The sequence below is a fragment of the Homo sapiens genome, chromosome 14, assembly GCF_000001405.40.
Source record: "Homo sapiens chromosome 14, GRCh38.p14 Primary Assembly".
Lineage (NCBI taxonomy): Eukaryota > Metazoa > Chordata > Mammalia > Primates > Hominidae > Homo > Homo sapiens.
The window spans coordinates 55,414,117-55,440,982 of NC_000014.9; the positions used below are offsets into that span (position 1 = coordinate 55,414,117).

The 26,866-nt window shown below is 41.4% G+C and overlaps 2 protein-coding genes across 4 annotated transcripts in view; one reads left to right on the plus strand and one right to left on the minus strand.

Annotated features, from left to right (window-relative positions):
• The window catches only part of FBXO34 (F-box protein 34), a 171,629-nt gene that overhangs the window by 142,696 nt on the left and 2,067 nt on the right, over positions 1–26,866 (plus strand). Inside the window, exons 5-7 of one of the 3 annotated variants that reach the window (XR_007064022.1) lie at positions 9,927–9,968; positions 22,800–22,856; positions 23,826–24,220. The exons of 1 other annotated variant lie outside the window; for it this stretch is intronic. The gene's annotated coding sequence lies outside the window, so the exon portion shown is untranslated. Of the gene's footprint in view, positions 1–9,926; positions 9,969–22,799; positions 22,857–23,825; positions 24,221–26,866 lie in introns of those variants that run through there. One more of the 3 variants, XR_007064024.1, reaches the window with a different exon arrangement.
• Positions 94–26,500, minus strand: TBPL2 (TATA-box binding protein like 2). The gene is made up of 7 exons (NM_199047.3): positions 26,280–26,500; positions 22,445–22,902; positions 21,731–21,818; positions 19,514–19,605; positions 14,691–14,858; positions 10,043–10,137; positions 94–339 (listed from the first exon to the last, which is right to left on the minus strand). Exons 1-7 carry the CDS (start codon positions 26,331–26,333, stop codon positions 263–265), a joined length of 1,032 nt encoding a protein of 343 aa, NP_950248.2. The 5' UTR covers positions 26,334–26,500; the 3' UTR covers positions 94–262.

A 26,866-nucleotide genomic window follows, 5' to 3' on the forward strand; every position in this document is an offset into this window, starting at 1 on the left:
ATGATGCTACAATATCATTCTAGTGAGACCCTAAATCTCTCAAATTTTGAAATGTTTACTTGTTCAGTTTTTAAAATAACACAAAAGGAGTCATTTTGAATAAGAATTTTTCTTCGTTTCTTAGGTTACTTACACAGAGTCGCCCTTTAATAAGTAACGTACTTGTAACATCTACAATTAAACGTAGAAGAATCCAGCTGTTTCTGTGCTGGGCTTATGGACATATTCAAACCAGAATAATGTGAGATGCTGAATGATATGCTCAGGCTTTTTTAAAACCTTTTAGAATAGGATAGATGTTTTCAAATGCTTCATAGATCTCAGAACGTTCTTTGGCACCTATAAAGAAATCCAGGTTTATATAATTTTTAATATAAAAATACCAACATTTACTTAAACACTAAAATTTCATTGTATTGTCTCCAATTACTTTTAATATGACATCTCTTTAGCTGTACCTGAGAAATGGCATTTATTCCGGGTAAATAATTTGGCAACTACAGCCATATTTCCACAAGACAGAAACCTTAGAGCAGAGTTTTCTAGAACTTCTCTGTGGGTGTCATCTTTGCTCACACAGTGCTCAGTATGAAATGTGGAATGTTATCTCTACATGTGCCATGAATATGGCCTCAGAGTAATTTCATCAGCACCTGCGGGCACTTAGCTACCAGCAAAAGGGACTTCTTTTGATCCACGTCCTCTCTAGTTAACATCTTGATTCCCTAATATTGATAACAGATGGAGACAAATGAGCTTTAAATTTGTTTTAAATTTTAGTTTAAAATTCTAAATTTAAAAGAGTTTTAAATTTTAGTGCATGGGAAGGGATTATTAGAGGGGAAAACTGTACTACTGTCACTCGTAAAGTCTTGTTTCAAGAAATTGTAAATCATAACTGCTGTAGGAATTACAGGGATAAAAACATGAATCAAACAGTCTCCACCATTGAGAAGTATTAGTCCCTACTCATCTCTCACCAACAACCAAACACCACCATTACCTCCAGCTTCCAAATTATGCAGGCACGTTGTGCTAAGGGTCATGTACTTGTACTACTTATATTTATATGGAGCTTCAGCTAATCAGGACACTAATCAGTTAATCTGATATTTTGTGGGCTGGAGGCAAGGAAGGAAGAAAGGAGGATAATGAAAGGACTATAACAACTGTTAGCATGAAGAGAAATGGAAAATAGCTTTAGTTGATAAAGACTCTTAAGAACTATAAAGTACATTGCTGATAGGAACAAAAAATGGCTCAGCTACTGTGGAAACTAGTTCGGTGGTTAAGTTAAAGAATTACTACATGACCCAACAATTTCACGCCTTGGTAAATACACCCCAAATTGAAAACAGGTACTCAAAAAAAATACTACGCACTTTCATTGCAGCACTATTCACACTTGCCAAAAGGTGGAAACAGCTTAAATGCCCGTCAATGGATGGATAACAATTTATAGTGTAGGCGGGGCGTGGTGGCTCACACCTGTAATCCCAGCACTTTGGGAGTCCCAGGCAGGTGGATCACCTGAGGTCAGGAGTTCAAGACCAGCCTGGCCAACACGGCGAAACCCCCGTCTCTACTAAAAATACAAAAGAAAATTAGGCGTGGCGGTGGGCGTCTGTCATCCTAGCTATTTGGGAGGCTGAGGCAGGAGAATTGCTTGAATTTGGGAGGCGGGGGTTGCAATGAGCAGAGTTCGCACCATTACACTCCAGCCTGGGCGACACAGCGAGACTCTGTCTCAAAATAAAAAAATGTATGGTGTGTATATACAATAGAATATTAGTCATAAACAGAAATGAAGTACACATGCTACAACATATAGCATGTTTCTTAGGCTCATCTAAGTGAAAAGCCAGACATGAAAAGTCACATGTTATAAGATTCTATGTATAAGAAGTATCCAGAAGAGTTAAATCCATGGAGACAGAATTCAGATTGGTAGTTGCCAGGGGAAGTGAGGAGAGGGGAATGGGGGGAATGGTTTAATGATATCAGGTTTTATTTTGGAGCAATAGAAATGTTTTAGAACTAGGTAGAGCCGGTGGTATATTCACAATACACAACCAGCTACTAAATGCCACTGAACTGTTCACTTTAAAATGGTTAAATTTGTTATGTGCGTTCACCTTAAATATTAAACAATCAGGGATGAAGTCCTTATAAGCTTAATTTTTTAAGAAATAAGGGCAGGCATGGTGGCTCACACCTGTAATTCCAGCACTTTGGGAGGCCAAGGTGGGAGGATCCCTTGAGCCCAGGAGTTTGAGACCAGCCCGGGTAACATAGGGACACCCTGTCTCCATAAAAATAAAGGAAAAAAATAAAAAGAGAAAAAATAAAGAGAAGAAAAGTTATTTATTCATTGCCAAAAAGTTTACTATCTGTAGGTCTTCACCTTCAAAGATTTGCGGTGGGGAGGAGAGTGAGTTACTGACACACATAAGAGAAACTGGTTCTTTGGGGTAGAAAAAGCCACAAGTTTCAGCAGATTTTTAGTTCCAGCTCTAAAATTTTGGTTTCTACAAAACCAAACTCTTTAGAAACTAAACAGTGAGTTGGTGAAGAAGCAAGAACCACTGCCTCTGGTTTGATGGACTTTTTGGGCTTCTAGCTGCATTCGTCTTGAACAACCTTGTTAGCAGACAATGAAGCATAATAGGTACAGCAAACACACACATGCCCCTCTCCCAAAATCCCCAAAACCAAGGTTCTTCTTTTCATATTTAATTGAGGAACAGTGTCCAGGTCCAGTATTTTGGACAGCCATGAACTTCACTCATTTTCCATAACACTTTTATATTAAAAAATCCTAACTAGGAGGTGGTATAGCTCAGGAGTAGAGCATTGGACTTCAGACCGAAAATCATAACTAAGAGCATTGCATTCAAGCTCAAGGAGTATACCATCTGGAGGCCCCTGGGGGGCGCCCTTTCCCAAGAGGGAATGGACATTTGAGGGATCATTATATCATAGAGAAACGATTTTAGACATAGGAGGACTTTAGGGAAATTAGTACAATTTCTTCATTTCATAAAGGCATAAGAAACAGATGTTACCTGAACCATACAGCAGCAGCTGTGGGAGAAGAGTGCGTGTAACCGGTGTTCCTTCCTTTACACCAAAAGTCAACAAATCAACATTGCCAGTATTTGTAACAGGTTGTTAAAATGAGGGGATTTGGTCAATTTAGTCAAACATTTCCTCACTAAAATATTGCCATCAAAAGTTTAAGGGAACCTAAATTGGCTCCATAGTCCTATTAATAATCAATCAATAATCAAAAACCCCAATTTGTAATACCAGGCTCCAATGAGATGACCCTTGCCTTAAAAAAAAAAAAAAAAAAAAAAAAAAGTCTCGCTCGGTCACCCAGGCTGGAGTGCTGTGGCACCATCTCAGCTCACTGCAACCTCTGCCTCCTGGGTTTGGGTTCAAGTGATTCTCATGCCTCAGCCTCCCAAGTAGCTGGGATTACAGGCAAGCACCACCATGTCTGGCTAATTTTGTCTATTTTCAGTAGAGATGGGGGTCTCGCTATGTTGCCCAGGCTGGTCTCAAACTCTTCGACTCAAGTGATCTGCCCACCTTGGCCTCCCAAAGTGCTGGTATATGAACCTTGCCTTTTAAGCAAAACTTACCATTCCTTTTCTTCAGGCTGTAATTTCTGGGGAATAAATACCATTCCTAACCTTGGTGACTAAGGTGAAAATTGTGTGGCCTGGTGCACTAGAGAAAGGACTGGCTTTGAGATCAAACAATATGGGCTTAAGTGCCAGCTCTACCTCTAACTAGCTTTAAAATAACAGGAAAATAAATTACTTAACCACTTTCAGTTTTCTTACTTGTAAAATAAGGACAATAAACCTTCTTGTAGAGTTGTGATAAAGGATGTGAGCTAAGGTTTGTAGAAAGTTGGGACATTTTATAAAATCTAAGCCATTTTATTACCCTAGAGGAATATACTTCCAGCTTAGGGACATTGGCATGGCTAGTCCAAGTACACATGGCTTATCATTTCATTCTGATAAGCCAGCAACATGTAATTTATTTATGTCTGTCTCCCTCAGCAGGGCTGGATTCCTGCCAGATGGGGAGTATATTAGATTCACCTTTGTCCCCAGCCCCCAGCACATTACAAGTACTTGGTAGGCACCCAAAATTTATTAAATATCTGTAATTTGTTGATAAGGTTTATAAGTTCATCCCTACCCCTTAGTCAGCTCCAAATATCAACCTCCAATACTACGTGGATTTTCCAGTTCTGTTCTTACATCAAGTCATAACTGCACATATTTTCCCGAGTGATGCCACAGTCGTGTGTGTATAAGTCAAAACCTTACAAGTTTGTAAAAATAGCATTGCACCGCTCAAGTTATTCATTTTATGACATATACCAATTTACTATTAGTTGGGGGTTACTGTTAACAATTGGGAGGCACATCCTGTCGTGTCTCTGGCCCACTCACTAACAAGTCTTGGCATTTTTCTGCTGCCCTCTGACCTACTCATTTCCGAGAAGCACAGATGTTGAGCTGATTAAGGGTGACCCTCAGCAACAATGACACAACTTCTTAGTTCTTTATGCTAGAGGGAAATAAATAAATAAGCGTTTTCCTGAAGCATCTTTGTCTTCATATTCCTATCATCAGGGCAAGGCATCACAGCAAAATTCCAGTCTTTGTCAATGATAGAGAAAAAACCAGGAGAGTGTGTTTTCACTAAGATAATAATAGCTCAACAGTGCCAGGCACTGGTTTTCTGCTTCCTTACAACACTTAGGTAGATTCTATGGTCACTTGCATTTTGCATATATGGAAACCAAGTCGGAGAACTTAAACTCACCAAGGCCACACAGTCAATAAATGGCAGATTATGATTAAAACTGGACAACTCTCCAGTCCATCCTTTTAGCCACTACACCTGCTGACCCTCACTGCTAAGAGAATCTTAATCATTCTTTCAGCTGACAAGGAGAATTAAGAAGTTGGCCAGGAGACCACACAGGTGTTATTGTAGACTTGCAAATTGCTGTGGGACAGGGTGAGCCCAGTGGGCTCTGGAGCCTGGCTCCTCACATGCCTGTTGCCCTGCGGCACACACAGCTGCTTGATATCGTTAAGTTTACTAAGCCGTTCCATTTTACAGGTGAGGAAACTTAGGTATAAAGTACAACTCACAGAGTTAACCAGACCCCATGTGAAAGTCCTTATGAAGCAGTGTCTGTCATATGAGTGCCCAATATGTTAACTCTGATGATTATGCCTGATCTTAGAAGTGGAAGTTGACATATTTGCTGTTTGTTATACCCCATTCCAGCAGAACCTAGCTATGCTATTAATTTTACTGTGGTTTAAGAAAAAAACATGGGCCCTAAATGTCACACCAGCCACAGAAAACAAGCACAGATCCAGAACAGTGTAAGCTGGGCCCAGGTCCTGTTGCTTTCTGCTCAGGACCATGACAGTAGAACAGCAGGGCCTCTTTGTTTTCAGCTTACTTGACTATAATTAGGACATTCAGAAGTAACCTTAGACATGGTGGCTGTAGCTGTGGCAACTCAGGGGAGTAAGACCATTTTATATGGATAAATTATTTTCAAAGACCTGCAAATGGCATGATACAATGGTTTCAAATTGCCACACATCTGTACTATGGGCATTGGCATTCTACAGTTCCCAACTAGGCAAGAGCTGGAATTCATTATTTTCTACAGTCAGACTCAAAGTTCATTTGTAATTGCAACACTTTACATTTTCTAGGCAAGTTATTTACCATTATTGAGATACTGCTTTCAGAACATCTCTGTAGAGTACCCAGTTGTGCCATGCTGCACTAGGCCACACATGAGCTTCCCCAAGCTTCAGTTTAGGGAGGAGCCTGAAAGGAGACCGCCTTGGTTCCTTTCCTGAGGTGTTCACCTGAAATTAGGCCCTTAAGGTTTTTTTTGTTTGTTTGTTTGTTTTGAGACAGACTCTTGCTCTGTTACCCAGGCTAGAGTGCAGTGGCACGATCTCGGCTCACTGCAACTTCCGCCTCCCAGGTTCAAGCGATTCTCCTGCCTCAGCCTCCTAAGTAGCTGGGATTACAGGCACGCACCACAATGCCCGGCTAATTTTTGTAATTTAAGTAGAGACAGGGTCTTGCCATGTTGGCCAGGCTGGTCTTGAACTCAGCCTCCCAAAGTGCTGGGATTACAGGCGTGAGCACAACGCCTAGCCAGGCCCTTAAGTTTTTAATCCATTTGCGGGTGAAAAGAGTCTAGAGACACAGGATTAAGTAATAAGGAACATTTGTCTCTAAGGCTGAGGCAAAAATAACCTAAACTGCGTAGCTCTAGGCTAAATAGTTTAAGACAGTATAGCATGAACAGGTAAAACGCCAAGAGATGATAATTATTTATCATTTCAGTAGTAAGTCATGGATTAACTTTTACTTCACAGTATAAGCAGAATTTGGATTTCAGTTAATGTATTTAATCCTCACCTCCAGAAAAGTCCATGTCTTGCAAGAAATTTAAATTTGCCTATTCTGTATACTTAGAAATTTTAAGGGAAGTGTACTGTATAGTCTTCAGTATTTAGTAACAATCCTTTACTTCTGTGATTTGAAACTGGCAAATGTGTAAATGAAAGCTTTTTAAAAGAAATTTGGGGGTTGGGTGCGGTGGCTCACTCCTGTAATCCCAGCACTTTGGGTGGCCGAGGCGGGTGGATCACGAGGTCAGGAGATCGAGACCATCCTGGCCAACACGGTGAAACCCCGTCTCTACTAAAAATACAAAAAAAATTAGCTGGGCATAGTGGCAGGTGCCTGTAGTCCCAGCTACTGGGGAGGCTGAGGCAGGAGAATGGCGTGAACCCGGGAGGCGGAGGTTGCAGTGAGCCGAGATCGCACCACTGCACTGCAGCCTGGGCAAAAGAGTGAGAATCTGTCTCAAAAAAAAAAAAAAAAAAGAAAAAAGAAATTTGGGGTAGGTGGGAAAGCTGATCTGAATTAAGGGCATTTAAAGAAATCTATAATAGGAACTTTGCCTGTATTTGGCAATTTGCACTTTTAATAAGATTTATTTGTAATGATACATGGCACTTATGAAAGTTTCCTTCCAAAGGACTTGAAAGTGTGTTTCCCTAAGTAGGGTATGTATTTGCCTCTGATATCTACACTATTCAATTTTATTGGCAGGCTTTTCTCACTTCCTCTAGGACATGTAGAGGTAAACTTTATGTCAGTCACTAGGGGGTCTTAATTACTCCAGACTCTAAATTAGTGCCATCTGAGGAATTGTAGTTTTGCTGCATTCAAAACGTTCTTGGATTCCAAACAAGCTTTCCCCACTTTGTTTTTAATTTTTTAATTAAGATGAAGTCTCACTCTGTCACCCAGGCTGGAGTGCAGTGGCGCGAACTTGGCTCACTGCAGCCTCTGCCTCCCAGGTTCAAGTGATTCTCCTGCCTCAGCCTCCCAAGTAGCTGGGGTCACAGGTGCCTGCCACCATGCCCAGCTAATTTTGTATTTTCAGTAGAGATGGGGTTTCACCATGTTGGCAAGGCTGGTCTTGAATTCCTGGCCTCATGTGATCTGCTTGCCTCAATTTCCCAAAGTGCTGGGATTACAGGCGTGAGCCACCATACCCAGAAACTTTCCCCTCTTTGAAGACACATTAATTATTTCTTAAAGAAAAGCAAACTATACAACTCAGAGTTATAAAAGAACACTTAAAACAGACATGTCATTTTGCTGGATGCTGAGTTATGACTTAATCAACTTTTCTGAATTCAGGTAATATAAAAGTCTCAATTTTTTTAGATGAGGCAAGATTTTATAAAATTCTAGTTTGGAGGAATATACATTTAAGAGAGGCTAAGAAATATAAAAATTAAAGTAATGAGGGGAAATTGGCCTTATTAGATATACCATGAGTATTAAAGCTACAATAAGATAAAGGCAATAGGATTATAATAGGATAAACCTAGAGCAAAGGCAGAACCGAAGAACAGCCACATATGTAAAAGAAAGGTCAAAAGGAGTCATCCAAAATTAATGAGAAGATATGTAGCGTTAAGTTGGTTGGCTAGCTATTTGGGACTGGGGCATGGAGATCAGTTTGGCTCAGGCCACATAAACTTGGCATTCATTATGGTAGAGGAGAGTGAAATGTATAAAAAGACAAAAGTAGACTACGCGATCTCAGCTCACTGCAACCTCCACCTCCTAGGTTCAAGCGATTCTCCTGCCTCAGCCTCCTGAGTAGCTGGGATTACAGGCGCTTGCCACTATGCCCAGCTAATTTTTTTTTTGTATTTTTAGTAGAGACAGGGTTTCACCATGTTGGCCAGGCTCATCTTGAACTCCTGACCTCATAATTCGCCTGCCTCGGCCTCCCGAAGTGCTAGGATTACAGGCGTGAGCCACCGCGCCCGGTCATAAAATAGCAACTTTCTGTAGGTGGGGCACAGTGGCTCACACCTGTAGTCCCAGCACTTTGAGAGGCCAAGGCAGGTAGATCACTTGAGGCCAGAGGTTCGAGACCAGCCTAGCCAATTTGGCAAAACCCCATCTCTTCGAAAAATACAAAACATTAGCTGGGCATGGTGGCATGTGCCTGTAGTCTCAGCTACTCAGGAGGCCGAGGCAGGAGAATCACTTGAACGCTGGAGGTGGAGGTTGCAGTGAGCTGAGATCGCGCCGCCATAGTCCAGCCTGGGCAACAGAGTGAGACTCTGTCTCAAAAACAAAAACAAACAAACAAACAACAATATATATAGCAACCTTCTGTAGAATGACATAGAAAAGAGTCTGAACCATTCCCTCAAGTAGTTTTAAAAAGTGCTATTTATGCAAAAATTATTTAAAAAAAAGCCAACAGGAAAAAATAACAAATATAGCAAAGAATAATTTGTCTTTAATAGTATTATAGTAAACTCAAATCCCGAGAAAATACAAGCTAAGTAGACAAAAGGATAAGTTATGTCATGTACATATTATTTACAAGAGACAAAATGCTATTTATTGGATGTGTTGAAAAATGGTCGATTTCTGTCTCTGATTACCGGTGGGGTTAAAGTAGTGAGATAATTTTTACATATACAGTTAAAGTTTTCTTTGGTACCATTTTGTTTGGAATGCTGCCAAGCATTTGGTAAAAGATATTTAGATACATTGCATTTAAGACCATGTGATACAGAACTATGTCATATATCCCTTTAAAACAATTGGGCGATTTGTTCTAAGAACAAAATGGACATAGCCTTAAACGAAAGTCCCATTTCTGAGTGTCCACACTAATATCATAATTGTCTACAGGTAAAAGCAGCCAAATGTCTGCCCTTCATAAGTAGCAAACAAAGAAGGAACATTTACCTATCTAGCAATGGGACAATACGTTTGATTCAATAACATGTTAGAATGGGTTCAGCAAAGGTAGGTCTGCTGGCTAAAGCCATCCTGCTGCCTGATTTTGTTAGCCTATGAGCTAAGAATGGTTTTTATCTTTTTCAGCAGTTGGGGAAAAAATATTACATAACACACATAAATTATGTCACGATATGAAATTCACATTTCAGAGCCCATTCCTTTATATAATGTAACATTCAGAGCTGCTTTCACACTACGATGGCAGTGCTCAGTAATTGTGACAGACCCTGTGGCTCACAAAGCTTAAAATATTTAGTATTTGGCCCTTTCCAGAAAAGAGTTTGTTAACCCCTGTGTTAGGACCTTGTGTGGCCATTAAAAGCCTTTATGAAGAGTTTGTAACAGTAAGTTTAAGCCATATATGTTATCATGGATAATTCTGTAAAAAAATCAGGATGTAAAGATGAAATACTTAATAAAATGACATAAAAACATGAAAAAAATGTTGTTTTAGGTACTGGGACCTATGGGTGATGTTATTCCTTTCTTATTTTTCATTCCAGGTATTCTGTATAACAAGAATTACTTTACCATGGTGAACAAAGGTATTTAAAAGAATAAGCAAAGCACATGCATAGCAATTACATTTTATGAGTCAGAAAATAATCTTAGCACTTACCTGTCAACACAACTTTTCCAGATACAAAGATAAGCAACACAATTCGTGGTTTTACCATTCTATAAATAAGACCAGGAAACAGTTCAGGCTCGTAACTGTTAAGATGTAAAAGGAAAATGTTAAAAATAGCACTATTCAGCTCCTTTCCCATAACATGTAAGGCCCAGTATATTAAAGTGCATATTAAAGCAGTTGTAAATAAGTTAGCTATTTTATCAAAAACTTTTTAACTATCTTGATGAAGAGTCTTGAGTGTCCTAGGTAATATCTTATGGAAGTTAGGAACATAATTAATTTTGGGTCATAACACAAGTGCAAGCTATCCTGGATGGTTATTAGAAATCAAGGTAACTTAGGGCATCTGATTTAGTGTATTGAGAGCTTGTTGGTTAAACATCCTCTATCTTTTCAAAAAAGTCTGTTAATAAGAATACATAATCATGTTTTTCTGGGTTTCCAAATTCTCCAATAATAAACATATTTTGTATGCTTTTACGAACTGCTGAAGTTAACATTTTTAGCAGATAGAACCTAAAAATATTTCTAGGCCACTGCTATTTGTATTTGAACAGGTGCTATATAAATAAAGAAAATCCAATTATCCCGAGTTTTTACAATTCAGGATTTGTTGCTATAAATAGTAACTCATATTTACTACTAAATATAAGCTGGCCACTCCATGGAGCGAAAGATGATAGCACTTAAGAGCTTCTTCTCCACACTCCAGCCTGGAGAGGAGGGCAGATTCTTAGAAAGGCTTGAGGAACCTACCAAAAAGAAGTCAGGAAGTGAGAGGAGGTGAATAAAACTATTCTCAAAGCAGTGGCTAATGGACAAGAAATATAAGAAAAAAAGACATCCAAGCAATGGAACACTAGCATCTTTGCACTTAAAGGGTGAATCCAGACTGCATGGAAAAGCTCCATTCAGTTCAGCAATGAACAAGACCCAAAAACAACAGCAGATGTGGAACCTTTTACTGGCTCCAGAAAGGCGCATCTTGAAGTGAGTCTTGCCCATCTCAAGTATAGGAGGTCATTGTGGGTGGAACTGTCTTCTGGAACATCACTCTGTCTTACTGCAGGGAGCCTGTCAAGACTTTCTCCCACTAACCACTTCCCAACACTGGGGAGACCATGACACTAGGGGGAGCCCTGAAAAACCCTCCAGGGCTATGAGATCCAGGCCAAGAAAATGAAGGCTGGAGACACAAAAAGAAGATTTCCATTTGATCTTCCAGCTAAATTTTAAGACTTAGAAAAGAGAAAACAAAAACTTTGGTATGTAAATGATATTGAACTGCATTTAGCTTTTAGAACCATGGTTTTAAGATTACCAGTATAATGTGCTCCCAATTAGGAATATACTTCATTTTATTTATTCTCTGCCTCATTCCAAAAGAAGGCTGAGGCAGAGAAAGAGAGTGGTTTTGGTTAGGGATGGAGAACATTTCACAAAGATTGAGAATATCGAACACCTGCCAATTTCTTGGCCAACCCAACTTTGACCCATCCTTCAAGTCTCATTTTAAATGTTACTTCCCCAAGAAAATCTTCCTTGATCTCTACCCACCCCCAATTACATTAAAGACCCTGCTTTATGGTCTCATAGCCCCTGAAGGGCCTTACCTTCACAGTCACCATGTTTCATTACTGTCATTGACTTGTCCATCTTTTCTTTTAGACAGTGATCTCTATGTGGGCAAGGGACTATAGCTATATTGCTTGCCATTATCATCCTAGCATCTGCTACATGGTAGTCACCTAGATCTTATTCATATAGCAAGTATTTATATCAGGATACCTTTGAATTAAAAATTAAAGAGGGGGCCGGGTGCGGTGGCTCACACCTGTAATCCTAGTACTTGGGAAGTCGAGGTGGGTGGATCGCCTGAGGTCAGGAGTTCAAGACCAGCCTGGCCAATATGGTAAAACCTCGTCTCTACTAAAAATACAAAAATTAGCCGGGTGTGGTGGTGGGTGCCTATAATACCAGCTACTCAGGAGGCTGAGGCAGGAGAATCACTTGAACCCTGGGGGGTGGAGGTTGCAGTGAGCTGAAATCATGCCACTTCACTCCAGCCTGGGCAAAAGAGCAAAACTCCATCTCAAAAAAAAAAAATAAATAAATAAAATAAAGAGGGAAAAATTCTCATTGACAACTGTGGAAATGATTATGTCATAGAAAGATTACCAGAGAAAGTGCCTGGTAACAAAAGGAGATACTTGTATTATTAAATGTTGACATACAAATTTGCAGAACCTGGGAAACTGAATGACCTTAGGGGTTTAACACAAGGCAAATTTGGCCTGATAATTATAACTGATTATGTAGCATGGTTCCCCACAGAGCTACAGACAATTAGAGAGGCCTCATGTTAAAAATTCAAATCTTCTAAGAGGTGTTTTTAATGTTCCCAGTGTCAAGAATACACACTCTGGAGTTGTAATCCATAACCTGAGGCTGACAGCCGAATGGAGAGGATGAGGGGGAGGCAAGAATGAGACTAGAAATAGAAAGTTGTGGGAATACAAAGCAAGCTTCCTGGCCAGATTAAAAAAAAAAAAAGAAAAGAAAAGAAAAGATGACTGAGATCATAAAACTGTCCCAGGAGGAAGATAGAACAGGGATGGGCCCACTCCGTCTGATGTATTCTCACTGCGCCTTACTGGCAACCCTTCCAGAAGCTGGTAGTAATAACAAGGGGCACCTATTCTAGACTTAGATCTGCTCTGCAAGGAAGATGCTGGTGAAAAAGAAATGAATGGACACTTGGGAAGAACCACACACATCATTTTCGAGCCCTGAATGGCCAGAAGGGAATGCTAAGTCTAATGTAGACACAACCTTAGAGTTCGGGCAGAGCTCTTGCAGATGTACACTAAGCCGATTCAGAGAAAGATAGGCTGGAGGCTCGTGACTTGAGAGTCTGGAAGATAAGACAACTTAAGCACTGGGAGACTCTTAGAAACAGGCTTTATTAGGAAATCTGCAAATTATGCCAAGATTGAAGGAAGAAAGATACCTAAAGAGGCAACATGTCTTACATGGGGGAATGGGAGGACTTTATAGGGAGCTCAGATTTTTAAAAAATGGGGTATATTTAGGCATTCAATAGCATACAGTGAAAAAACTGAAGAAAAAAGAAAACATAATCAAGAGAAAAATAAACATGTCAAAAGAAAAATAAGCATATCATAAAAGCTGAATCTCAGAATGAATGAAAATATTTTAGAAGAAAAAGGAATTTTTAACTTCCATTCAGATCATATCTGAAAGGAAAGCTAACAAATGTTAGGGAAAGCACAGCAATATGATCCCTATCTACTCTATTGACGGGATAATCATTCGATGGCCAAGAGAAGATAAGGCGTTGGAATGAAAGAACTTCAGTTCCAGCTTGGCCAAGAGAATTTAAGAGCATCTGTGATTAACCCAGGCCAAGTGCCCTAGCCCAGGTGTATATCTTGGTGAGTCAAGGGGTTTGGTGTCCATGAGTCACCCTCCATCCCTGCTCTCTGAGGGCCTGGGATGGGAGAGCCACCAAAACGGCTGGGGGCGGGGGAGGAGCACTAGCTGTTGAGACGGGAAGTCTGAAGTCAGGAAGGCTAGAGATATTCCCTAGGAAAAGGAATATACTACAGGCAACATTGTGTTGCGGGCTGCAGCTATATACACACACACACACACACACAGATAGGGGACAAACTAGTTAGGATTGCTTTTTTTTTTTTTTTTTTGAGACGGAGTCTGGCTGTGGCCCGGGCTGGAGTGCAGTGGCGCGATCTCTCACTGCAAGCTCCGTCTCCCGGGTTCACGCCATTCTCCTGCCTCAGCCTCCCAGGATTGCTTTCATAGAACGTGCTACAGCATTCTTTTTTCATCTTCTCCCCAATCCATTCTCCCCTCACCAGCTGTCAAGCCCCTTCCTACCGGCCTAGTCCATTTCACATGCCTTATCTTTTTTTTTTTTTTTTTTTTTTTTTTTTGAGACGGAGTCTCGCTCTGTCGCCCAGGCTGGAGTCCAGTGGCGCGAGGTCGGCTCACTGCAAGCTCCACCTCCTGGGTTCTGGCCATTCTTCTGCCTCAGCCTCCCGAGTAGCTGGGACTACAGGCGCCCGCTGCCACGCCCGGCTAATTTTTTGTATTTTTAGTAGAGACAGGGTTTCACCGTGTTAGCCAGGATGGTCTCGATCTCCTGACCTCGTGATCCGCCTGCCTCGGCCTCCCAACACATGCCTTATCTTGCCAGTGTCATTGCCAAGCTACGTTTGTATGCTTACAAATCTGTAGATTACTGGATCTCAATGTGTGGGCCTCTGACCAGTAGCACTGTCATCACCTTTGAGCTTTTTAGAAACACAAATTCTAGCAAAATCTCTGGTGAAGAAACCCAGCCAGAGATGTGTGCTTTAATAAGCTAAGTGATTGCTAAGCAATGTAAGTTTAAGAACCATGGTTTCAAAAGACTGGGCACATGTGGTAACCTATGAGAACTCAGGCATAGCATCTTAATCTTTTCACTATTGTGTCCCCCGCCTTTTTTTTTTTAATCACAATTTCTCTGAAAGATACTTTACGTAAGCAACCCATAATGTAACTTAAATATCTTGGTAAATTCAAAGTTCAAGCTATATAACCGTCATACCTACTGAACTGCTGATGGGTTAGCACCAAACCTTCCAGCCTGATGGGAAATCTCACATCACAGCTTCCAACCATGTTCTGAATTTTAAAATCGAGGAATCTGGCAGGGAACCCAAGCTTCTGCACCACACGAGCATATTTTCTTGCTGCAAGTCGAGACTGCTCTTCACTGGGGAGGGGCAAATATGTTTAAAGATGTCTTAATCGCTACATCCTCTCAACTACTGGTGTTGTATTGGATTGTTACCATTTGTACCACGTTTATCTTTCAATGTATACTATGAAGCTGTAGGCTTTGTGAGGAGGACTTACTTCCCATACTTTCGTCCCTAGCACCTTATAAAAGGTCTTGTAAAATTGTACAGCTGTTGAACAGAATCATAAATTTTTGTCTTCATTTGTCACCTTTCATATATGAAGTACTTTTACTTTTACTTGGGTGTTATTTGCTAAAACGATTCCAAGGATTCGCAAAGTGTGTCCCCAGACCAGCAGCTTCACCTGGGAACTTGTTAGAAATGCAAAGTCCCAGGTTCCACCTCAGACATGCAGAAACTCTGGGGGTGGGGCCGAGCAATCTGTCTTTTAACAAGCCCTCTAGGTAACTGTGCTGCTCACTGCAGTTTGGGAACCATTCATCCAGTCTCAAAGTATGTCCCATTTAGAAGAGAACAATGGCTGGGCACAGTGGCTCACGCCTGTAATCCCAGCACTTTGGGAGGCTGAGGCAGGCAGCTCACCTGAGGACAGTAGCTCGAGACCGGCCTGGCCAACATGATGAAACGCTGTCTCTACTAAAAATACAAAAAAATTAGCTGGACATGGTGGCGGGCACCTGTAATCCCAGCTACTCAGGAGGCTGAGGCAGGAGAATCACTTGAACCTGGGAGGCAGAGGTTGCAGTGAGCTGAGATCGCGCCATTGCACTCCAGCCTAGGCAACAAGAGTGAAACTCCGTCTCAAAAAAAAAAAAAAAAAAAAAAAGAAAACAACAAGAAAAAATAAGGACACATGCATACAAAAAAAAATCGCATATAAGGAGGTAAGATATGTGCTGATTGAGTGGCACAGACAAGGTATCAGTTCTTGAGTCTTTATTGGACACACTGTCCAAAACAACCACATGAAAATACCTCAAAACCCCCCTTGTTTTGCTCGGCTTTCTCACCCAATCTTCAATTCAATTCAAACTCAACACAAGAAGGACAGGAATTTGTCCTACTCTGTGGCTATGTCCTTTAAGTGTCTGTCCTGCTGCACCCCTAAATTCATAGCAGAGCCTGTGGAGTCCTGAGAGGTGAGGCTTCATTTCTCCTTAGGTATTTTTCAACTGTTAGTGACAAAACAAAACAGTAGGTAGCAACACCTGCAGGGTGAATCAGGTGAATTCCACCCCCCTCATGGGTTTGGCCCTATTTTTAGGCTGTAAATCAGAAACACCTGAAAGAAAAGCCAGTTTGAACTTGTTTGCCTGGACTAAAGCAAGTGTTTGATTCTCTTATCCAGATCCTTCACCAACACTGCCCCCTCTTGGGTATTCGTTACTACATACATGTGTCACCTCATTTAATGTTGATTCTCCTCACCCACTTTAAAAAAAAAAAAAAAAAAAAAAAAAGAGATTGGGTTTTTGCTCTGTTACCCAGGCTGGAGTGCAGTGGCATGATCATAGCTCACTGCAGCCTTGAACTTCTGGCCTTAAGTGATCCTCCTGCCTCAGCCTCCTAAGTAGCCTGCAGGGGCATGCACCACCACACCTGCCTAAATTTTTATAGAGACAGGGTCTTGCTGTCTTGCCCAGGCTGGGCTCAAACTCCAGGACTCAAGTGACCCTCCCAACCTCAGCCTCCCCAAGTACTGAGGTTACAGGTGTGAGCCACTGCACATGGCCATCTGTTGATCTGGTATCTACTCACTAGATTGACTACAGCTGCACAGCACTGCCCTTGGCTCTCTTCACCCACTTCTCACTCTTGAAATGTCCTTAGCAAGGCCATGTCCCCAGGTTAGCAGTAAAATAAACTGTTTCCATTTTGAACTACATTTTGCCTAACTAATCTATTACATTTCCCGTAATGTAAATAAGTTCAAATTTGTTCAAGTTTGCATAGTCCTGTAGTTTCTTGGGATATCAGCTGTGATATTCTAAGGACACAGAAGTTTCTATTGAAACAACTAATAGTTGAAAGTCTATATACATGTTCATTGTACAAACATTAGAAAGTAGTTTAAAAATCTTAAAATCTCACCCATACTGGTGTTAACTACCTAAATTTGATCTTCTGCACTTTTCCTACGCAAACACAGGTATCCCTCATACTCTTGCTGTTACAACAAAAGAGAATAGGTTTGGATAAAATGTGGAGATAATACTGGCACCTCTTATTAACTAAATTCTCACAACTCACTATCCAAAACTTCAAAACCAAATATATTTGGATAAAAAGTATCTCTTATTATCTGAACTCATTATCCAAACTTTCACTATCAGATTTTAGGAATAAATTCAGATAAGAAAAGACACTCATGAATGTGTGTAATATGTGTAACATGAGCATATTTTACAATGAAAGTTGGATAACAAACACCATTTAGCTGCTTACTTCTCCCTCTGCAATCCAACTTAATACAATGTGACCATCCTTTCAGCTCAGTATGTGTACTATATGGCTAATACAATTTTACTTTATGACTTCAAATTGAAACCCTATTATTAATTAGGTTTTCCCTGTTCTATTGCTGAAATGAACATTATTACAGACATCTTGCACAACTGTCCAATAATCACTTTAAAATGGAGATTCCTGGGATCAACATAAGAGAAAGTCCAGCAATGTACTCAGACACATGTGAAGAACTTAATATGTAAAAACAGATTGGGGGAAATGTAGTAACAATGGATCCTTCAATAAATGTATCTGAGTACCGACTGATCATTTGGGAAAAATAATTATCTTACATTGAAACAAAATTCTAGATCTGCTCTGTCCAATTAATATAAATTCAGTCCCTCAGTTGTATTAGCTGTATTTCAAGTGCTCAGTAGCCACATCTGACTAGTGGCTATATCATTGCATTAAACAGTGCAGATATAGAACATTTCCATCTAGAGAAAGCTCTAAGTGAATCAAAATACCAGCTATCCTTTTCCTATCACAAAGCAGGACCTGAAAAAGACCAAAAAATATATGAAAGTCAATATTTGTATAATACTGTGCACAAATGCCTTAAGGGCAAAGCCAAATGTAGAAAACAAAGAAAAAAATGGGATAAAATGAGTATACCCTTCAAAATTTGTGTTTTTTAAAAAACCCACCATAGGCCAGATGTAGTAGCTCACGCCTGTAATCCCAGCACTTTGGGAGACCAAGGTGGGAGGACTACTTGAGCCCAGGAGTTCGAGACCAGCCTGGGCAATATGGGGAAACCCCCGTCTCTACAAAAAAAAAAAAAAAAAATTAGCCAGGCCTGGTGGTGCATACCTGTGGTCCCAGCTACTTAAGAGGCCGAGCTGGAAGGATGGCTCCAGCCCGGGAGGTGGAGGTTGCAGTGAGCCCAGATCACACCACTGCACTCCATCCTGGATAACACAGTGAGACCGTGTCTCAGAAAAAAAAAAACAACAAATAAACAAACAACAAAAAAAACACCATAAAATACCATAAACAGTAATCTGAGAAAAAATATTTACAGTATAAAATGGTGAAAATAGTTAACAAAACAAAAACAAAAGATAAATCTCTCCATAGATAACTGAGCAAATGACATAGCAATTTCTGCACTTCTAAAAAGTTATTTAATCTCACTAGTAAATCAAAGAAATGTAAAACAATGTAACTTTTTGTCAATCAATTTAGCAAATATAAAAAGAATATCGACACCCAGTGTCCACAGGATAAAATGAACACTTAGTACATTTATAGAGCGAGAAATTGGCACAACTTTTCAGGAGGAGAATTTGCTTCTTATCTTTTAACACCTACAGGAGAAAACAGGCTCTGCCACTACAGAGTTATGGTGAAAGAATACCCATCAACACAGGGCTTCCTCTGCGTGAGATCCAGGAGAGATGAGATTTTTAAGGGATGCCTCCTGAGCTAATGCAAGCTAATGCTCAAGGAATGTCTAATTGAGCTCCTTTAGAAAGTTCTATCCATTTATCTGCAATGAGGAAAATCCACAATAACTACTTCCCCAGACTTATAACACACTTCATCATTACTGTAACTTAAAAAAAATTCACCTTAGAAACAAGTTGTAGCAGCGCAGTTAAGTCCCCTCGGTTTAATAGGGGAAACTGTAAAATGGGGATATGTCAGTATTTTATTATTTTTTTTAATAGAGACAGGGTCTTGCTCTGTAACTCAGACTGGACTGCAGTGGTATGATCATAGCTCATTGCAGCCTCAAACTCATGGGCTCAGGTGATCCTCCCACCTCAGCTTCCCAAGTAGCTAGGACTAGAGGCATGCACCACCACATCCAGCTACTTTTTAGATTTCTCTTTTTTTTTTTTTTTTTTTTTTTAACAGAGATGGAGTCTCACTGTGTTGCCCAGGCTGGTCTCAAACTCCTGGGCTCAAGCGATCCTCCTGCTTAGGCCTCCCAAAGTGCTGGGATTACAGATGTGAGCCACCATGCCTGGCCCAAGTCAGTATTTATAGGAGTGTTTTTAACCCAAAATGTGGCATTTCATTGAATAAAGTCTTCAGCAAAGAAAGGCATTTTGCTTCTACTATGTGCTTTAGCACATTAATTCTATGCTTCCTTGTTTTACATACTAAATTGTTTCTCTGGTAGGGGTGGAGGGATGATTCCTCATACCTTTTGGCTCCCGTGCAGACCATCTTCCCAGAGCTAAATATAAGGGCTGTTGTCCTGGGCTCTCGGATCCTCATTATGACAGCAGCAAACCTCTATACCCAGAAACCAAAAGAGAATTAGCCTCTGCTAGGAGTTAACATTATCCCAGTTGAAAAAGCCGAGCTGAATATGAAAATCTCAAACAGATTGGATGGGAAAACTAAATGTCTGGGTCTTTTCTCCCTACATTAAGGTTAACAAAAATAATGATGATTCTAAAATGTACTTATTAACAGGTAAAAATAATATCAGTAACTCTTAAATTTGAATGCCTGTTATGTTTCAGTTCCTATTTATTCTCATGATAGGATGAACTTGTGTTTATTATCCTCATTTAGTGCTCAGGGAAAACAAGTAGCAATATAACCTCCAATATTACACAGGAAGTGGTAAAGTTAAGATTCAAAACCCACACTAATCAGATTCTCTGCTTTTTACTTTGACACACTTCCTTTTTCTTTTGAAGAATCTTTTGGGAAAAAAATAAGTATGTTAAAGGCTCACCAAGACTTCAGAATGTACTGAAAAATGACCAAAATGCAGAAGAGTCTGTATGATAGGCATGCTAAAGATGAATGACAGAAAGTTGATGTCAAGGTTCTTGCCTCTTATAGTTCTCAAAGTGTCATTCAAGACCAGCAGCATCAGCAAGCCCTGCAGGTGAGGCTGACACTCGTGAGGGTAGGGAACCTCTGGCCTGCCACATGGACGTGTCATCAAATGGCCTGCTCCTACACAGATAGTCTCTTCACCCCAACTCCTCTCCCCGGTTAAGCTAGGAAGGAAACTGGGGTGGGTGCTAGCTTAAGGGCCAAGCCAGAATTTCTCTGGGTGTCAAGCACAAGTTCAGAGAGATCCTATACACTCATCCCCAGCCCTGCCCACCCCTACCCCTCGTCCAAAATGAGAGGTGTGCTGAGGATGGTGGACAATAAAAGTTGCCTAAAATGCTGATTGTTCAATAATGTGATCACAGCTGCAGCTGTGAGGATCTTAGCTCATCTTTGTGTCTGTCCTCACCATTGTCAGCTGTATGAAATATCAAAAGGAAAGCTTTATTGTATTCGGGTAACATCGAGGTAACATTTAAATTCAGATGTCAGCAACAATACTAGGGCAACAGCAAAAACAAATAATAGTTGATGCCTGCAAGGTCTCTGGGTTCCTACGAATGTGACCTTTTTTCATCTAATTCCATAAATCCTCCACCACCTAAGCCAGTGAACTTTTTCCCAGTAGGAAGCAGGTCTTACTCATCTTTGTACTCCTAAGTACAGAGCCTGGCAAATCGTTAAAAGTTGATAGGATTGACAAACCCAATTACCCTAGGTAAACAAGCCATTGAAAACAGGATGCCTGGCCTTGGCAGGATACAAGAAAGAATAGATTTTATTAAACTTTGAGGAGGACGAAAAAAAAAATCCCTGAATCTTACATTAGTAAATAGGAGCTTGAACTTTATACTTTAAGCAGTTTAGCCTTCTCAGATAAGAGGAATTGTAATGGAAAGATACATAAGTGTCAGGTAGCTGAGACAACATTTGGCAAAAATTATTTCCAGAAATTTGATGGCATTTTAAGATAGTTAGCATCCCAATAGTCAGGTGAAATTTTTTTTTTTTTTTTGGAGACGGAGTCTCGCTGTTACCCAGGCTGGAATGTAATGGCATGATCTTGGCTCACTGCAACCTCTGCCTCCTGGGTTCAAGTGATTCTCCTGCCTCAACCTCCTGAGTAGCTGGGATTACAGGCACCCGCCACAACATCCAGCTAATTTTTGTATTTTTAGTAGAGACGGGATTTCACCATGTTGGTCAGGCTGGTCTCAAACTCCTGACCTCGTGATCCACCTGCCTCAGCCTCCCAAAGTGCTGGGATTACAGGAGTGAGCCACCGTGCCCAGCCTAAGTGAAAAATTATAATCATACTAAAAAATATTTTTGAATGACAAGGGAGAGAGCTTATCTTTAAGGAACTGCTCAATTACTGCTTTATTCAGCATAAAGAATGAGATTATTTTTTATAACTCAAAACAGATATTAACCCTGAGTTGCCAAAAGCTTTTTCAGTAACAATTTTTTAAGAAAAAACAGAGGAATTAGTCAATATCATGATCATATTAAGAAAAGTAAATCTAAAGAGAAGCTAATTATTGGAAGGAATACTGAGAAATGTTACCTTTGGGTTATATTCTGCATTTTTTGCATGCAAAGCTATTTTCTTCAGATCCAACTTACAGGCCAGGTTTACAGTGGAAACTATATTCCTGAAGAAATAAGTCAGTTTAGAAACTTATATCAGATATAAAGAGTAAAAAAAAAAAAAGACAACTTATTTTCTCATTTCTTAGGTTATACCTTAGCAATTTCCTAGGGGGAGAATTATTCCAAATGTGAAATACATGACATGATTCCTAGTTAAGTGTAAAATCCCAAAGTGAAGTGCTAAAGAGCCTTTCCTAAAATTTCATGACTAGCTGCTAAAATTAAGTTTTAGATCTTTTTTCAAAACAATGCCTCAAAATAGAAATTACAATTCTGAATCAATTTGCAAATCAAACTCAATTTTACATCTTTATATCCTTGGTGTTTATCCAACCCTACCCACAATTTTCAGCAACTACAGTGCTGTAGTATAAACAATACAATCCTTCAAGAATGCATCTATTAATCTTTAAGTCCCCTCCGCCCACCTTAGAGGTCAAGAATTAGTGCTTTGCCTTACAGATAATCAAACTGTCTAAAGCCACAATCCATTTAGAACTGATAAAACAAAGAATTATGAAATCTGAAATTCTCTTCCCTACTATTATCCTGAAATTAGTTGTCATCGCATTCAGGAATATAAAATGTGTACCCAATGTGCTCAATTAAAACAAAAATAAAAACTTACTGTAGTTGAGGTACAATTCCACAACATTCTGAAATAGGGGTCATTGGTGTCATGGGAGTTATGGATGCCAGAGACAAGGAGTCGGAGTTTGGTTTCTCAGGAGAGGGCTGGACTGAGTCAGTATCACCAGGGTGCAGCTGTGAATGGGAATTTGACAAACTGCTGCTGTTTAAGCCCAGCCCAACGTCCTGTTCGCTGGGTGATGGCAACCTACTTTGTGGACTTTGGCTTTCAGAATTTTCTTCAGTTTCGTGTTTGCTAATGACAGGCTGGTCTTTATTTTCCTGGGTAACTTCATCTGGTAGGAAGCTAAGATCCACAGATGAGAAATCACCAGATGTTTCTTTGACTTCAGGGTTCGAATTAAATGCAGTATCCGGATTGGATGCATTCAGTATGTACATATCATAAGGTACAACTGGGCTGAACAGGGGAGACCTGGGTGGGGCAAGGCCATCCTAGGCAGTTCCCAAAACAGACAGACAAAAACACAACAGACAGAACAGCATGTTACACAAAAGGGATGTCACTATGGCAGGCAGGCAGGCAATGTATTCAGTGTAAGAGGCAGTTCAAGATTGCTTGTATTCATGCACTGCTTTTTTCTAGAAAATGCCATTAAGATTCTACTACAGGCCAGATGTGGTAGCTCACGCCTGTAATCCCAGCACTTTGGAAGGCTGAGGCAGGCGGATGGCTGGAGGCTAGGAGTTTTGAGACTAGCCTGGCCAATGTGGTGAAACCACGTCTCTACTAAAAATGCAAAAATTAGCAGAGCATGGTAGTGCCTGCCTGTAATCCCAGCTACTGGGGAGGCTGAGGCATGAGAATCTCTTGAACCTGGGAGGCAGAGGTTGCAGTGAGTCGAGATCATGCTACTGCACTCCAGCCTGGGTATCAGAGCGAGACTCCATCTAAAAAATGATTCTATTACAGTTACAGCACACTTAATGGAAACAGAAAAGAATATTTTAAAATGCAGAAAAAGCATTCTTCATAAACTATCTTAGCTACTTTGGTTAGATCTCTAGTAAGTTGCCACTCTCTAAGTCCAATTTTGCAATAGAGGCAATTGAGCAACCATGCTCTAAATTGTTGTATACTTTGAAGAGAACAGATATACTGTATTATTTAAGTTAATTATAAACTTTAGTTGACTTTACTTTGAAATAATTTTGAGTTTTAAATGTAAATAGAATAAATGAAGGAAGTTTAAGATATAGTTGAATGCTAATCAAGACTCACTAAAGACCCATGGTTATTCCTTCTAGGCAAAGGCGTAATAAGAATTCTTGTAATGTTCTAGTTAGAAGAATTTACACTAGGAAAAAAGTTATTGAAACTTAAATGGTAAGAATAGTGTAAATCAATTTATTTTCAGTCCAGGGAAGGCTGCTCAACTACCATTATCCAGCAACGGAGAGAATGATGTGTGCACCTGAGGAAAGCAACTAATGTAAAATTCATGGACTTTATTATGGGAAAAAATCGATTAGCTTGATAAATGCATTACCACCTGCTTCACTCAAGTTACGGGCCTGGACTCCAGATTTTGAGCACTGCTTGCAGGAGAAACTCAAAAAGATCTTATTTCTTTTCTGACCACTGAAGGGTCAGGAATGCACCGTGTTGCATCTTCTCAGTGACAATGCTACCTCCGCTAATGTACGTCTGACTGGAGCCTATTGGAGTGTTCTGTTACTACAAGTCCAGCAGGTGGCAGGGGTGACTAATTGTTTAAAGAAAGCACTTAGAATTAAAAACAAAATCAAGCTATTCTCTTGAAATAAGATTTTTGACCTCTATTTCATTATGAATACATGATACGCTCCCATCTTTCCCCACCCTCAACCCACAGAGTGGCCTAAGAAAAGTGAGATGGGGACAATGGGCCCCAATTCCACTGCAGGGTTTCCTTGGTCTCACCTGTCCCAGATGTAAAGGGTCTCCTCCCGCAATTTACGCTAAAGCACCAAAGCTGCAACAGTCAGTGTCTCCCTTCCCCTTCCCCTTCCCCATCATGGCATTTTATCAGGGAACAAAGCTACACGTACACAAGAATGTAAGGCAATGGCGAGGATTTGAAGGAGGATGTTTTATGGTAATGGAAACTTGACCGGCTCCCTGCAGGGTCTGCCTGTAGTGACTCTCCTCAGAACATGTCTGTGTAGCACGTTCACTGCATCCTTGGCTTCAGAATCTTTAGTCATTTTTGTTAAACTGTATCCACTTACCTTTCTCAGAACCTTTCCTGTCTGGGCTCTTCTTTGCTGTGTTAAATGCTAGGGAAAGTCACCATTTCTACCTCAGTGCTGATCATTGTCTTTATAAAAAAATTCTCCCACCAAAAAAAAAAAAAAAAAAGTAAGTTGCTCTCTTGCCTTTTTTTTTTTTTGAGACGGAGTCTCACTCTGTCGCCCAGGCTGGAGTGCAGTGGCACCATCTCGGCTCACTGCAACCTCTTCCTCCTGGATGCAAGCAATTCTCCTGCCTCAGCCTCCCGAGTAGCTGGGACTACAGGCTCCTGCCACCACGCCCAGCTAATTTTTGTATTTTTTAGCAGAGGCGAAGTTTCGCCATGTTGGCCAGGCTGGTCTTGAACTCCTGACCTCAAATGAGCCACGTGCCTCGGCCTCCCAAAGTGCTGGGATTACAGGCGTGAGCCACCTCACCCTGCCCAATGCTAAGGATTTTTAAGTCTTAAGAGTAATTAACTTTAAAAAAAAAAAAAAAAGCCACAGGTGTTTCTAGTTGACATTTGGCAAACCCTGCAACCACCAGCTCCACCAGAGACTTGACTTCTAGAGGGAGGCCTAGTACTGGCATCCATGCTGCAGGGGACAGGGGCTCTCTGTTTCCCCTGTCAAAGCAGAAACCCGTGGGAACCTGAAGTCACTACAGCTAGCACAATGCACTCTCTGTGCATGTCCTTTAGAACCAGGCGGGGGGCCAGGAGTGGTGGCTCACGCCTGAAATCCCAGCACTTCGGGAGGCCAAGGTGGGTGGGATGACTTGAGGTCAAGAGTTCAACACCAGCCTGGGGAGAAAAGCAAACCCCCCCCCGTCTCTACTAAAAAATACAAAAATTAGCCGGGCATGGTGGCTCACGCCTGTAATCCCAGCACTTTGGGAGGCCAAGGCGGGTGGATCACGAGGTCAGGAGATCGAGACCATCCTGGCTAACACGGTGAAACACTGTCTCTACTAAAAATACAAAAAAATTAGCCGGGCGTAGTGGCGGGCTCCTGTAGTCCCAGCTACTCGGGAGGCTGAGGTAGGAGAATGGCGTGAACCTGGGAGGCAGAGCTTGCAGTGAGCCGAGATCGCGCCACTGCACTCCAGCCTGGGTGACAGAGCGAGACTCTGTCTCAAAAAAAAAAAAAAAAAAAAATTAGCCAGGTGTGGTGCGTGTGCCTGAAATCCCAGCTACACGGGAGGCTGAGGCACGAGAATCGCTTGAACCCAGGAGGCGGAGGTTGCAGTGAGCTGAGATCGCGCCACTGCACTCCAGCCTGGGCGAGACTCCATCTCAGAGAAAAATCAATCAATCAATCAATCAATCAATCAAAAACCAGAACAACCTGGGAAGGGCCATGTAATCTGGTAACTGAGTGAACGGTTCTGGATTCGTGCTAGATGAAGTTCGAGCTCTGTTTGGCAACCTTGGTCAAATTATTTCACTTTTCGAAGCTTCTAACCTTCAACTTAATGACTTGGGAAACCAAGCCCGCCTCTTATGGTCGCTATGAGTTTTAAGAGGAACGAAGGCAAAGCCCTTGGCACAGGACCGGGCGGGACTTGGGTCCTGACTCTGGGACAGTGGCGGCAGCCTCACCTGAGCGGCGCACTGGTCCAGGTAGAGCTCCAGGTAGGTCTCCTCCTGCTCCATGGACCGTAATCCCACTGTTGGGGGTGGGGGCGGGTAAGAGGGTAAGCGCGGAGCGAGCAGCCTCGGAACCCGCTCCGGCCAGGGCGCAGAGGCCATTTATGAGCCTGGGGGCAGCGAGGCGGGGCGGCCCTCGGCCCAGGTTCCTGCAGAGGGCGCGAGAGAAGCGTTGGGCGATGGGCTTGGAGCGGGATGCGGAACCCAGCTACCGGCCCATGGGCGCTGGGAAGCGGAGATGGGCTAGGGGTGGGCCGGAGAGGGGCGTCTCGCCTGGGGGCAGTCACCCCACTCTGCCCGCAGCTGGGAAGGGCCTGGGCCTGCAGATTTGATTTCCTTCGATACTCGCAATGTGGTCTTTGCTCCCAGGAGAGAAATTCTCGGTGCAAGTGCATGGAAAGTGAGAAAAAAAAAGGGATTTTTTGTTGTTGTTGTTGAGATGGAATCCCACTCTTTCGCCCAGTGCCATCTTGGCTCACTGCAACCTCCGCCTCCCGGGTTCAAGCTATTCTCCTGCCTCAGCCTCCCAAGTAGCTGTG

What these genes read in the sequence shown, in the direction of transcription:
- TBPL2 (NM_199047.3), bottom strand. Translation starts at nt 26,333, where the DNA reads ATGGAGCAGGAGGAGACCTACCTGGAGCTCTACCTGGACCAGTGCGCC. An exon ending in GGAATTGTACCTCAACTACA is followed by an intron (nt 21,819 to 22,444) that starts GTAAGTTTTTAT and finishes TTATTTCTTCAG; the next exon opens with GAATATAGTTTCCACTGTAA. An exon ending in ATGCAGAATATAACCCAAAG is followed by an intron (nt 19,606 to 21,730) that starts GTAACATTTCTC and finishes TTCTGGGTATAG; the next exon opens with AGGTTTGCTGCTGTCATAAT.